The sequence below is a fragment of the Homo sapiens genome, chromosome 19 (assembly GCF_000001405.40).
Source record: "Homo sapiens chromosome 19, GRCh38.p14 Primary Assembly".
NCBI classification, from domain to species: domain Eukaryota; kingdom Metazoa; phylum Chordata; class Mammalia; order Primates; family Hominidae; genus Homo; species Homo sapiens.
Window position 1 is genome coordinate 4992881 of NC_000019.10, and position 12327 is coordinate 5005207.

The window sequence follows — 12327 nt, forward strand, 5'->3', positions numbered from 1 at the left end:
CAAATTACTTTCTGTTGTTGATTTCTAATTTCCATTGTGGTTGGAGAACTTACTTTGGATGATCTGAATTCTTTTCAATTTAATGAGGCTTGTTTTATGGACTAACATATGGTTTATCCTGGAGAATGTTCCATATGTACTGAGAAGAGAATATGTTCTATAGATTCTTTTGGCTTATAGTGCTCAAGTCTCTCTCTTTGTTGCTCTTCTGCTAGTTGTGTTATCTTTTATTGAAAGTGAGGGTATGAGCCGGGCATGGGGGCTCATGCCTGTAATCTCAGCACTTTGGGAGGCCGAGGTGAGTGGATCACCTGAGGTCAGCAGTTTGAGACCAGCCTGGCCAACAAGGCAAAACCCTGTCTCTACTAAAAACACAAAAATTAGCCGAGTGTGGTGGCGCATGCCTGTATTCCAGCTACTCGGGAGGCTGAGGCACCAGAATCGCTTGAACCCGGGAGGCAGAGGTTGCAGTGAGCTGAGATCACCCCACTACCCTCCAGCCTGGGCGACAGAGTGAGACTCCATCTCAAGGGAAAAAAAAAAAAGAAAGTGAAGGTATTGACATCTCCAGCTATTGTTGAATTACTTCTCCTTTTATTTCTGTCATTTTTTGCTTCATGTATTTTGGGGCTCTGTTATTAGATGCATATATGTTTATAATTGCTGTATCTTGCTAATGGATTCACCTTTTTATCATTATAAAATGTCCCTCTTTATCTCTAGTAACTTTTTTGTTTGTTTTTTTTTTGAGATGGAGTCTTGCACTTTTGCCCAGTCTGGAGTGCAGTGTTGCGATCATGGCTCATTGCAGCCTCAGCCTCCTGGGCTCAAGTAATCCTCCTGCCTCAGCATCCTAAGTAGCTGGGACTACAGGTGTGTGTTGCCACGCCTGGCTAATTTTTTTGAATTTTAACAGAGGTGAGGTCTTACTATGTTGCCCAGGCTGGTGTCAAACTCCTGAACTCAAGTGATCCTCCCACCTTGGCCTCCTGAAGTGCTTGGATTACAGGCATGAGTCATTATACCACACCTGGCACATTTTTTTTTAAGTCTATTTTGTCTGATGTTAGTGTAGCCACTCCAGCTTTCTTATGGTTCCTGTTTGCATGTTACACGTTTAATTTTTATATTTTCAGCCTGTTTTTTTTTTTTTTTTTTTTTTGTTATTGTTGTTTTGTCTTTTTTGAGACAGGGTTTCGACCTCCCGGCATGCACCACCATACCTGGCTAATTTTTGTGTTTTTTCTGTAGAGACGGGTTTTGCCACATTGCCTAAGCTGATCTCGAACTCCTGGGCTCAAGCAGTTTGCCTGCCTAGGCCTCCCGAAGTGTTGGGATTACAGGTGTGAGCCACTGTGCCCAGCCTATTTTCAGCCTGTTCGTATCTTTGAATCTAAAGAGTGTCCCCTGGCTGGGCGCAGTGGCTCACGCCTGTAATCTCAGCACTTTGGGAGGCCGAGGCGGGTGGATCACCTGAGGTTGGGAGTTTGAGACCAGGCTGACCAACATGGAGAAACCTTGTCTCTACTAAAAATACACATGCGTGGTGGCGCATGCCTGTAGTCCCAGCTACTCAGGAGGCTGAGGCAGGAGAATCGCTTGAACCCGGGAGGTGGAGATTGCAGTGAGCCAAGATCATGCCATTGCACTCCAGCCTGGGCAACAAGAGTGAAACTCTGTCTCTCAAAAAAAAAAAAAAAAAAAAAAAAAAGTGTCCCCTGAAGACAGTATATAGTATAGTATATAGTTGGATCTTGTTTTTTAAATCCAGTCTGACAATTTCTGTCTTTTGATTGGATGTTTAATCCATTCATATTTAATGCCGTTATTGATATAGTTGGATTTGTACCTGCCATTTCCCTTTTTGTTTTCTATTTTGTTCCTTTATTCCTTCTTTGATGTTTTCTTTTGCATTAAGTGAATATTTTCTAGTGTAATATTTTAATTCTTTTCATGATTGTTAGCACTATATTTTTGGAAGTATTTTCTTAGTAGTTGCTGTCGGTCTTATAGGCATCTTAACTTCTCAGAATCGACTTCAGATCCCCAATATCATTTGAAGCAAGGCTGTGCTTACTCCTTTTGAACTGTGCTTAGCAATCAGGATTTCACTTAATCAGTTCAATGGCTTGGGTTTTCAAGGATGCTGATGTGTTTGTTTGCCTGAATGGTGCCTCTTCTTTTGCTCATTCCTCCTCACATTCAGTGAAATGAACACATCAAAGCCCTCTTAGGACCTGTGATCATCAAAACCATTTGGAGACCCCACTGTCTCGGGAGCAGGGCTTGGGAAGGACACCAGCTCCCCTGTCATCCCTCTCCTTGTGTTTCTGGCTTCTTTTCATCTCCCTTGCACCACTGAAACTGATGAGTTTGTAGCCCTGTTCCTGACACAAGACTCCAAATCTGTGTCAGTGGGTCTCACCCACTTGGAGGCAGGTCTTTTTTTTTTGAGATGGATTCTTACTCTGGGCAACAGAGCAAGAATCCTGGGTTCAAGCGATTCTCCTGCCTCAGCCTCCTGAGTAGCTGGGATTACAGGCACCCGCCACCACATCCAGCTAATTTTTGTGTTTTTAGTAGAGACGGAGTTTCTCCATGTTGGCCAGGCTGGTCTCGAACTCCTGACCTCAACCGATCTGCCTACCTTGGCCTCCCAAAGTGCTAGGATTACAGGCATGATCCTCTGTGCCTGGCCGAGGCTTGGCATTTTTAATTTGAATTGGTAGAGAGTGGGTGCCATCATCGTTTTGATGATCATTCAACCCCAGGAATATGCATCCCTTTCCTGAGAGGCACTCTCATCCTCTACGCAGAGCAGCCAGTGAGCTGCTGGAGGGACCTTGGGTCCCAGCACAGTATCCCAGGCTGGCTCCCTTTAAATACTCGTTGTTTTTATAAAAGGGATATGTAAGTATGGTTGGCGTGTGAACTACAAATGTCCCTGCATCCTGCGACCCTGAAATGGCCTGTCTTGGTGTTGGCGCTCCTGGTCGCCGCGGTGTCACGCGTAGATCTTTGCTTCTCAGTGGCTCTGCAGTCCTTTATTTTGGTACAGATATGTGTAATTTACTTACCCATTCTCCTACTAATGAGCACTTACTTTTCTCTCTCTCTTTCTTTCTTTTTAGACAGTGTCTCGCTCTGTCGCCCAGGCTGGCCTGCAGTGGTGTGATCTCAGCTCACCGCAGCCTCCTCCTCCCAGTTCAAGTGATTCTCCTGCCTCAGACTCCTGAGTAGCTGGGATTACAGGCATGTGCCACGACGCCTGGCTAATTTTTGTATTTTTGGTAGAGATGGGGTTTCTCCATGTTGGCCAGGCTGGTCTCAAACTCCTGACCTCAGGTGATCAGCCTACCTCAGCCTCCCAAAGCGTTGGGATTATAGGCGTGAGCTACTGCACCGAACTACTTTTTTCTCTTTTAAACAATGCTGCTGGCCACATCCTTGCTGCCAGCCCTTCTAGGTGGGGTTGCTCAGAGTGTGTGTGCCTGTTTTATTTTTATGTTTTTGAGAGGGGGACCTGCTCTGTCATCCAGGCTGGAGTGCAGTGGCATGATCACAGCTCCTTGCAGCCTCAGCCCCCTGGGCTCAAGCGATCTCTTGCCTCAGCCTCCCAAGTTGCTGGGGCCACATGTGTGCACTACCACATCTGGCTAATTTTTTTTTTTTTTTAGTAGTGACGCGGTCTCGCCATGTTGTCCAGGCTGGAGTTTATTTTGAAGCGTGTTGCTCAGCTGTCCCCTGAGGTGGTCTGAATTTGTGCCCCTGCACAGTCATTGTGGGACAGTCATTGTGTTGGGGACAGCTCTGGTCTCTGCCCCTCCTTATAACCTGTCTCCTCGTGCTGGTTCTTGTTTGAGTTGCCAGTTCATAGCCTTTGCCTGCTTGTTGATTTGGTATGTTTTTTTTCTTGACTTAAAAACAAAAAAACAAACCCAAAGCTTCTCAAATTCGGCACTCTTGCTATCTTGAGCTGGGTCCTTCTCTGGGGTGGGGCTGTCCTGGGCCCTGCAGGGTGCTGAGCAGCAGCCCTGGCCTCCACCCACTGCATGCCAGGAGCACCCCCTAGTCGTGACAACCACAGACAGCCCCAGACCTCCCAGTGTTCCCTGTGGGCACAGCTGCATGGTTGGGCAGTGTGGGTCTGGGTGAGTGGGTTCTTTGCATCCCTGGCCTCCACCCCCTCCACGCCAGCACCACCCTCAGTCGTGACAGCCATAAATGTCCCTAGACATCGGAAGGCATCCTCTGGGGGCACGATCAGCCTTGGTGGAGAACCCCTGTTTTGGAATAACCCTTTCTGTACCCGGGCTATTACCACCCTATTGTGTTACCTTTTTTCTCAGTTCCTCACTTATCTTTAGTTTTATTTTTGGTGCGTTGTTACATAGGATGTTTTCAAGTTGCCTGATGTGTCCTTCCCTTTAGGGCTTCCGAGTTTGTGTCCCACTTAGAGAGGTTTCCCCCGCCCTAGGAGTCCAGGAGCGTCGGCCCCTGGCTTCCACTGTGTCCTTCTGTGGTTCATGAGGACCTGCCATCTGGGGGCGGCGAGGTGGGCTGGGCTTTGTGTTTCCAACATGTCCACCCCAGCCGGCTGGGCCTGCGTACCCAGTGGGTGGCGCTCAGGTCTGCAGCTGCCTCCTTGGCTCCCCGGTTGTTAGCTGTGTGATCTAGGGTAGGCCACTTCCTGCCTGTGCCTCAGTTTCCTCTCCTGGGAAATGGGCTGGAATAGCTGTCCCTGCCTCCTCCGGTTGGTGGGCTGGTCAGCCATGCCAGGCACTCAGAGTCATCCCTGCCTCCTCGAGTTGGTGGGCTGGTCAGCCATGCCAGGCACTCAGAGTCATGCCTGCATGGGGGCTCCAGGACCTCGTCATCAGCCTCTTCATCCTTACTGTCTGGTCTGTTCCAAAGGCCGCAGGCCCCAGAAAGACGGTGACACTCCAGGAGGTTGCTAGACCTGGCGGGCCCCAGGGCCAGGAGTGAGGGGCGGACGTGCCACTCTGCACTGCTGTCCCTCTCCACCCAGGCCTTGGGGCTCCCAGACAACCATGAAATTACAAGGCAGGTTTGTAGATGCATAGATTATTTAGTTAATGATTATGGTTTTAAATGGTTAATTATGGAACATCAGATACCTATAAATAAGTGTGAAACATGGACTGGTCCTCTTGTGTCTGCCAGGGGTTGCCTCCTGACTGGGTGGGAGCCTGCTTGGGGGCCCAAGTCTGCTGGCATCCCCGCTCTGTGTGGCTCCATCCCCTCGCCTGGGGGCAGTGGACGGACAGGTGGCCTTTGCCCGTAGTGCTCCCCAGACCCTGTTGAGTGCCTGGCAAAGATGTAGGTGGGCTGCACCTCCCTTTGTGTGGAAGGTTCCAGAAGGAAGTGCCAGGTGACCAAGCCTGTGTCTGTCCTGGGTTTTCTTGGCTCTTCACCCAAACACTTCCCTTTTTTGTTGTTTTTGTTTTAATAAAATTTTTTTGGACATAATTTCAGACTGACCCCAAAATTGCAAGAATAATAGGAAGAATTCCCAGACACCTTTCACCCAGGACCCCCATGTGGCGACATTCCCTGCTTTGCCTTTAATCCTTTCCTCTCATTCTCTTTCCCTGCACTTCTTCCTAAACTGTCAGTGTGTGGCAGACATGACATCCCTTTACCTCTCCTTCAGTGTGTATTTCCCCCAGACAAGGAATTTTTGTATCAAGTTATCAAAATCAGAAATTCACGCTGATAAAATCAAATCTACAGACCCTATTCTGACTTTGCAGTAATGTCCTTAAGAGTCAGAAGAGAATCCAGGATCAACACAGCACTCAGTCGTCTTGCCTGTCGGTTCCTTTTAACCTGGGGCTGCTCCTGAGTCTGTCTCTGGGTTCTCTGACTCTGATGTTTTGGGGGCGTACAGGCCGTCATTCTGTTAAATGTCCCCCAGGTGGGTTTGTCTGATGGTTCCTCAGGACCAGATTCAGGCCACACACTTTTGGCAGGAAAGTCCTGGAGCCGACATTGGGTCCTTCTTAGTGCGCCCTATCAGGAGGCCCATCATGCTAATTTGTCCCATTTCTGGTGATGTTAACCTTGATCCTTTGGTTAAGGTGGGCCCGCCAGGTTTCCCCACCCTAACATTACTATTGTACCATTTGCATCTCATGGGGAGGCCAGTGTAAACACGCCGTTACTCCTCAAACGTTCACTGCTTGTTTCAGCAGACATTGATTCTTGCCGCATGGTGGTTGTCTAGTCCTGTCATTTCTTCTGCGTTTATTAGTTGATGTCTCCTATACAGGACAGCTGTCCCTTGTTCCTTTCTTATTTCTATCAGGGTGGGCTTGTGGATTCTTACTTTGTTCAATGGGTTATAATCCACTGCCATCACGATTGATCTGGTTGCTCAGATGGCTCCACATTTTTCCAGAAAGAGCCCGGTCGAGCTGGCTCCTGGGCCATTTGACATGTCCCCACCCTGCTCGGAGCACTTCCCAACTTTTTGGCACTGGGATGCTCCCAGCTCATCCTGTAGTCTCCCTCATGGTCGATCCCTGGGATTGACCAATCTCCAAGGAGCCCTGGTTCTGTTTGTGGAGAATGCCACTTAGAAACCGAGATCCAGGTGCTCCGTGTGCTCAGTGCTACTGGGGTGTCTTTGCTTCTAGGTCCTCTAATCAGACAGAGCTGGGAAGTAGATGTGTGTACATCTTACACACATGTACATTGTGTGTGTATATATGAATAGACATGTATACATACAGACACCTGACATTTGTATCCATCTCTGCATCCATCTATCCACCCACCCATCCACCCATTTACTCACCTATCCATCTATCCACCTGTCCACCCACCCACCCACCTGTCCATCTATCCATCTATCCATCCATCCATCCACCCACCCACCCATCTACCCATTTACTCACCTATCCATCTATCCACCCGTCCACCCACCCACCGACCCACCCACCTATCCATCTATCCATCCATCCATCCACCCACGCATCCACCCATTTACTCACCTATCCATCTATCCACCTGTCCACACACCGACCCACCCACCCACCTATCCATCCATCCACCCATTTACTCACCTATCCATCTATCCCCCTGTCCACCCACCCACCCACCAACCTATCCATCTATCCATCCATCCATCCACCCACCAATCCCATTTACTCACCTATCCATCTATCCACCTGTCCACCCACCCACCCACCTACCAACCTATCCATCTATCCATCCATCCAGCCACCCACCTATCCACCCATTTACTCACCTATCCATCTATCCACCTGTCCACCCACCCACCCACCCACCTATCTACCATCCATCCACCCACCCACCCATCCACCCACCTATCCATCCACCCACCCATCCATCCACCCATTCACATATCCGTCCATCCATCTATTCATTCACCGATCCATCTGTCCGTCTGTCCATCCATCCATCCACCCACCCATTCACCTATCCATCCATCCAACCGTCCATCTGTTCATTCACCTATCCATCCATCTGTCTGTCCATCCATCCATCCATCCGTACATCCATTTATTCATCCATCCATCCATCCATCCATCCCCATTAATGCCCATGAGTTCACACTGAAACCTCTAGTTCCAGCCCCACACCCAGGGTCCCTTACCATCTTTCCCCATCGTTATTTGTAACTCCCTTGGCTGACAGTGAGAATCCACCCACTGCCTACCATAAAAGCATCCTCCAGAGTAGGAGCCAATATTTCTTTTTTGTTTGTCTCAAAGACATACAGTCCCAAACTGTATTTAAAAGTTTACATGGATTAGTTCTTCCATTTTTTTCCCCCTTCTTTACTGTGGTTATATTGTTTGCTTGAAATAAGGTTTGGTTTACTTGTTTTTGTTTGTGTTTTGGACAAGGATTTTCCTCCTCAACTCTTGCTGATTTTAGTTGCCTGTTGATTGATTTCTTGATTCAACATACGTGATGTAGTGTATAGAACATTAGCATGGTTCCAGAGTCAGGACTGCACAAAAAGGCATGGGCGGAGAAGTGTCATCAACCCCCTTTCTCCTCCCCATTCCTGCCCACCCCCTGCAGGAAAGGAATCTCGTTAGTCTCTGGCTCAGCCTTTCAGGGCAGCTCAAAGAAGCAGATGTGTATTTTTTTAATGTCCCCTTCTTTTTTTTTTTTGAGACAGAGTCTTTCTCTGTTGCCCAGGCTGGAGTGCAGTGGTGTAATCACAGCTCGTTGCAGCCTTCACCTCCTGGGTTCAAGTGATCCTGCCACTTCGGCCTCCTGACTTAGCTGAGACCACAGGTGTGTGCCACCATGCCAAGCTAATTTTTTTATGTTTTTATAGAGAAATACAGGGTCTTGCTATGTTGCCCAGGCTGGTCTCAAACTCCCGGGCTCAAGTGGGCTCCCAAAGTGCTGGAATTACAGGTGTGAGCCACGGCGCCTGGCCTTATACCTTTTCTTTCGCACGTGAAAGTGGCGCTGTGCTCTGTTCATTTAGCTGTGTGTCCTGGAAACCACTTCATTGGCCAGGGAGCTCTTCCTGGCTCCCCTGCACAGCTGCGTAGTGTTCCTTGCAGGGATGCAGCGAAGTCCACCCAGTGTCTCTCCTGCATGTAGATATTTAGTTTGTTTCCAGGCTCTTACGGTGGCGAACTGTGCTGCCGTGAGTAACCTGGTGTATATGGATTTTCACATTGGTGGAAGGGTATCTTCATGGTAGATTTTCGTGAGTGGGATTGCTGGGTCAGAAGTGCAGACATATTTTGTTAGCTTTTATGCTAAACACCCATGTAAGTCCTGTTCCGCCAGCTGTGTCGTCTGGGAGGGCCTGGTTCCCCTGCCTCGCCAGCAGGGTGTGCTGTTTCATGTCTAAATACTTGCCAATCCCAGTGCTGAGAAATGGGGGCTCAGTGGAGTTCTAATGATTGTTCCTGTAGTTATGAGTGGTGATGAACATCTTGTTGTGATTAAAGCTGTTTTTGTATCTTTTCTGTGAGCTGTATCTTCATACTTTTCACTTGCTTTTTTCTATTGGATATTTGACTCTTTCCTCCTAACTTGAAACTCCAATATGTGAACCTCTGTGGTATGTATTGCAAATATTTCCTTTGTGTTTTTTTTTTCTTTTTTTTTCTTTTTGAGACTGAATCTTGTTCTGTTGCCCAGGCTGGAGTGCAGTGGCACAATCTCAGCTCATTGCAACCTCCGCCTCCCAGGTTCAAGCAATTCTCCTGCCTCAGCCTCCTGAGTAGCTGGGATTACAGGCGTGTGCCACCATGTCCAGCTAATTTTTATATTTTTAGTAGAGATAGGGTTTCGCCATGTTGGTCAGGCTGGTCTCAAAATCCTGACCTCAGGTGATTCACCGGCCTTGGCCTCCCAAAATGCCGGGATTATAGGCTTGAGTCACCTCACCCAGTGCAAATATTTTCCCTCGGTCTCTGGATTGCCTTTTGGCTTTGTTATTGGTGTTTGGTTTTCTTTTGCCCTGCAGAGTGTTTTTTTTTCTTTCTCCTTTCCTTTCCTTTCTCTCTCCTTTCTCTCTCCTTTCTCTCTACTTTCTCTCCCCTTTCTCTCTCCTTTCCTTTCCTTTCCTTTCCTTCTTTCTTTCCTTTCTTCTTTCTTTCTTTTCACTTTCTTTTTCTTTATTCTCTTTCTTTCAAGACGAGGTCTTACTATGTTGCCCACGCTGGTCTCAAACTCCTGGGCTCAAGCAGTCTTCCTGCCTTGGCCTCCCAAGCAGCTGAAATTACAGGTGTGAGCCTGTAATTAGCCACACCTGGCTAATTAAAAAAAATAGTTAGCTGGGCACGGTGGCTTACACCTGTAGTCCCCGGACTGTGGGAGGATCACTTGAGCCCAGGAGTTTGAGACCAGCCTGGGCAACATGGTGAGACCCCCATCTCTACAAAAAAGAAAAAAAAGTTAGCCAGGCATAGTGGTGTATGCCTGTGGTCCCACCTACTCAGGAGGCTGAGGTGGGAGGATTGCTTGAGCCCAGGAGTTCAAGGCTGCCATGAGCTATGATCACACCACTGTACTCCAGCCTGAGTGACAGAGCGAGACCCTGTCTCAACAAAAGTCACATTTCTGAGTCTTTACTTTCTTTGCCTCTTGATTAGAGCTGTGGTTGTAAAGCCCTTTCCGTCTCTGGGGCTGGAGAGGAGTTCACCTCGTTTTTTTCTGGCTCTCGTATGATTCCTCCTTTACACTCACGTTCCGATTCCACCGCCGTTCATTCTCGCAGAGGTGCGAGGTGGGGACCTCACTTTATTGTTTTCTGAATGGCTACCCTGTTGTCCCAGCTCCATTGATTAAAAAAATCCCTGCTTGGGCCGGGCATGGTGGCTCACGCCTGTGATCATAGCACTTTGGGCCCAGGCGGGCGGATCACCTGAGGTCAGGAGTTCGAGACCAGCCTGACTAACATGGAGAAACCCCATCTCTAATAAAAATTAGCTGGGTGTGGTGGCGCATGCCTGTAATCCCAGCTTCTCGGGAGGCTGAGGAAGGAGGATTGCTTGAACCCAGGAGGCGGAGGTTGTGGTGAGCCAAGATCGTGCCATTGCACTCCAGCCTGGGCAACAAGAGCAAGACTCTGTCTCAAAATAAACAAACAAACAAACAAACAAATAAATAAATCCCTGCTTGGCCAGGTGCAGTGGCTCACACCTGTAATCCTAGCACTTTGGGAGGGTGAGGTGGGTGGATCCCTAGAGGTCAGGAATTTGAGACCAGCCTGGCCAATATGGTGAAACCCCGTCTCTACTAAAAATACAAAAATTAGCTGGGCATGGTGGTGGGCGCCTGTAATCCCAGCTACTTGGGAGGCTGAGTTAGGAGAATCGCTTGAACCCGGGAGGTGGAGGTTGTAGTGAGCTGAGATTGTGCCACTGCCCTCCAGCCTGGGTGACGAGAGTGAGACCCCGTCTAAAAAAAAGGTCCCTGCTTACCCCACTGCCTTGGGGAACCCCCTCTGTCCCCCACACAGTCTCCGTATATGCCTGAGTCTGTGTTTGGTCTTCCTCGTCTCTCCACAGCAGGTCTGCCCCGTGGGTTGTTGGCCGCGGTCGGATGCTCAGCCGCTTGAGAATGCTGTCTCCTGCCTGGGTGCGTCTGGCTCCCCTCTGCGCGTCCTGTTTCGTGTTATTTTTTAGAGTTTGTGCATTTCTCTGTGTACTTTGGTACACAAATGCTTCTTTGAAGTTAATACGTGGCAGTAAAGCTGGCACTGGGGACGGCTAGGGCGGTGGATGGCGTGTGTCCTGGAGGGCGGGTGTGCTGGCAGAGACTTAAGGATGAGGTTAAGGATTCTCCTAAGTCCTTTTCTTCTGGGGGAAGGAGACTCGTGGGAACCCCTCCAGTGCAATGGCCTCGCCATTTCCACACGCCGGCCCCTGGCACTTTCCACCATTCGTGTGCTCGGCTCCCAGCTCTTGCCCTGCCACAGGCCCTCGCTCCCTCCTCACCCGGCCTGGAGTGCATGGCCCACAGTGGGCCTGTTCTCACCGCGCATCCCGCCAGCTCCTTGGCCCTTCTCAGCCCTTGCTGCCCCCCGGGCTCATACACCTCTACCCACGATCCAGAGACGGATCGTCAGGCCCACCCCAGCCCGGCAGCTTCCTAGAGCAATGCCCTCAGCCAGGCATGTTGTCTGGGGACGCTCGGCAGTGTCTAGACACAGCCAGTCCCTGTGACCCGGTGTGCATGTGTGCTGCCGTGCACGTTTCAGCTCCCCAGTTTCATGTAGTTGAGAACGCTTGACTGTGAGATGCACCACGGCTCTGTGCTCCCTGGGAGTCCCCGTACCCCCGTGCGGTGAGCGTGAGAAGTCACCCACAGAGGGGCAGGAAGGCGGTTATATTTTAATGGTCACAGGTGGGCAGTACCCCTGGGTGTTGGGCAGAGGCCACCCCTGCTCCCCTCCGGAATACACTCCCTACTGTCCAGGCAGCCCTCAGATTACAGCCCCCAGCCTGACCCCAGAGACATGCAAATATGGGACAGACGTAAGGCTTTGGTGCCGGAACCAGGAGCATCCCGGGCAAAGTGAGACGAGCTGGTCACCCCCTGCACAGTCTCCCACTTCCCCAGGCTTCATTCTCCCACCCCTGGAAGTGGTAACCCTTCTAGAGGTACCTGTGTAGCGTCTTCCTTTTCTGCGCGCTCTGTGTGTGCCGGCCTGTCCTGCGGCCGTCACCTGGCAGATAGCTGCTGTCCCAGGGATCCAGCACAAAGCTTGGAGATGCGTCTGTGCAGCCCACTCTGTGGCTGTGTGTGGAGTTGATGGTGGACTTCTGTCACCCCATGACATCTGAGGCTACAGGAGTG

At 49.7% G+C, this 12327-nt stretch overlaps 1 protein-coding gene across 16 annotated transcripts in view, besides 2 other annotated features; it reads left to right on the forward strand.

Moving 5' to 3' along the window:
• The window catches only part of KDM4B (lysine demethylase 4B), a 184486-nt gene that overhangs the window by 23768 nt on the left and 148391 nt on the right, over positions 1-12327 (forward strand). For 2 of the 16 annotated variants that reach the window (XM_017026503.2, XM_047438472.1), the window contains exon 1: positions 8177-8295. The exons of 13 other annotated variants lie outside the window; for them this stretch is intronic. The gene's annotated coding sequence lies outside the window, so the exon portion shown is untranslated. Of the gene's footprint in view, positions 1-3136; positions 3900-8176; positions 8296-12327 lie in introns of those variants that run through there. One more of the 16 variants, XM_047438470.1, reaches the window with a different exon arrangement.
• Positions 8638-8932: an enhancer, noted in NCBI's record as "tiled region #13405; K562 Activating DNase matched - State 12:CtcfO". NCBI's record gives its function as "activates a minimal TATA promoter and a strong SV40 promoter by Sharpr-MPRA in K562 cells {active_cell/tissue: K562}" and the evidence as "EXISTENCE:reporter gene assay evidence [ECO:0000049][PMID:27701403]".
• Positions 11442-11942: an enhancer, noted in NCBI's record as "H3K4me1 hESC enhancer chr19:5004333-5004833 (GRCh37/hg19 assembly coordinates)". NCBI's record gives its function as "activates a minimal SCP1, AML or CMV promoter by ChIP-STARR-seq in naive H9 embryonic stem cells {active_cell/tissue: H9 hESC(naive)}" and the evidence as "EXISTENCE:reporter gene assay evidence [ECO:0000049][PMID:30033119]".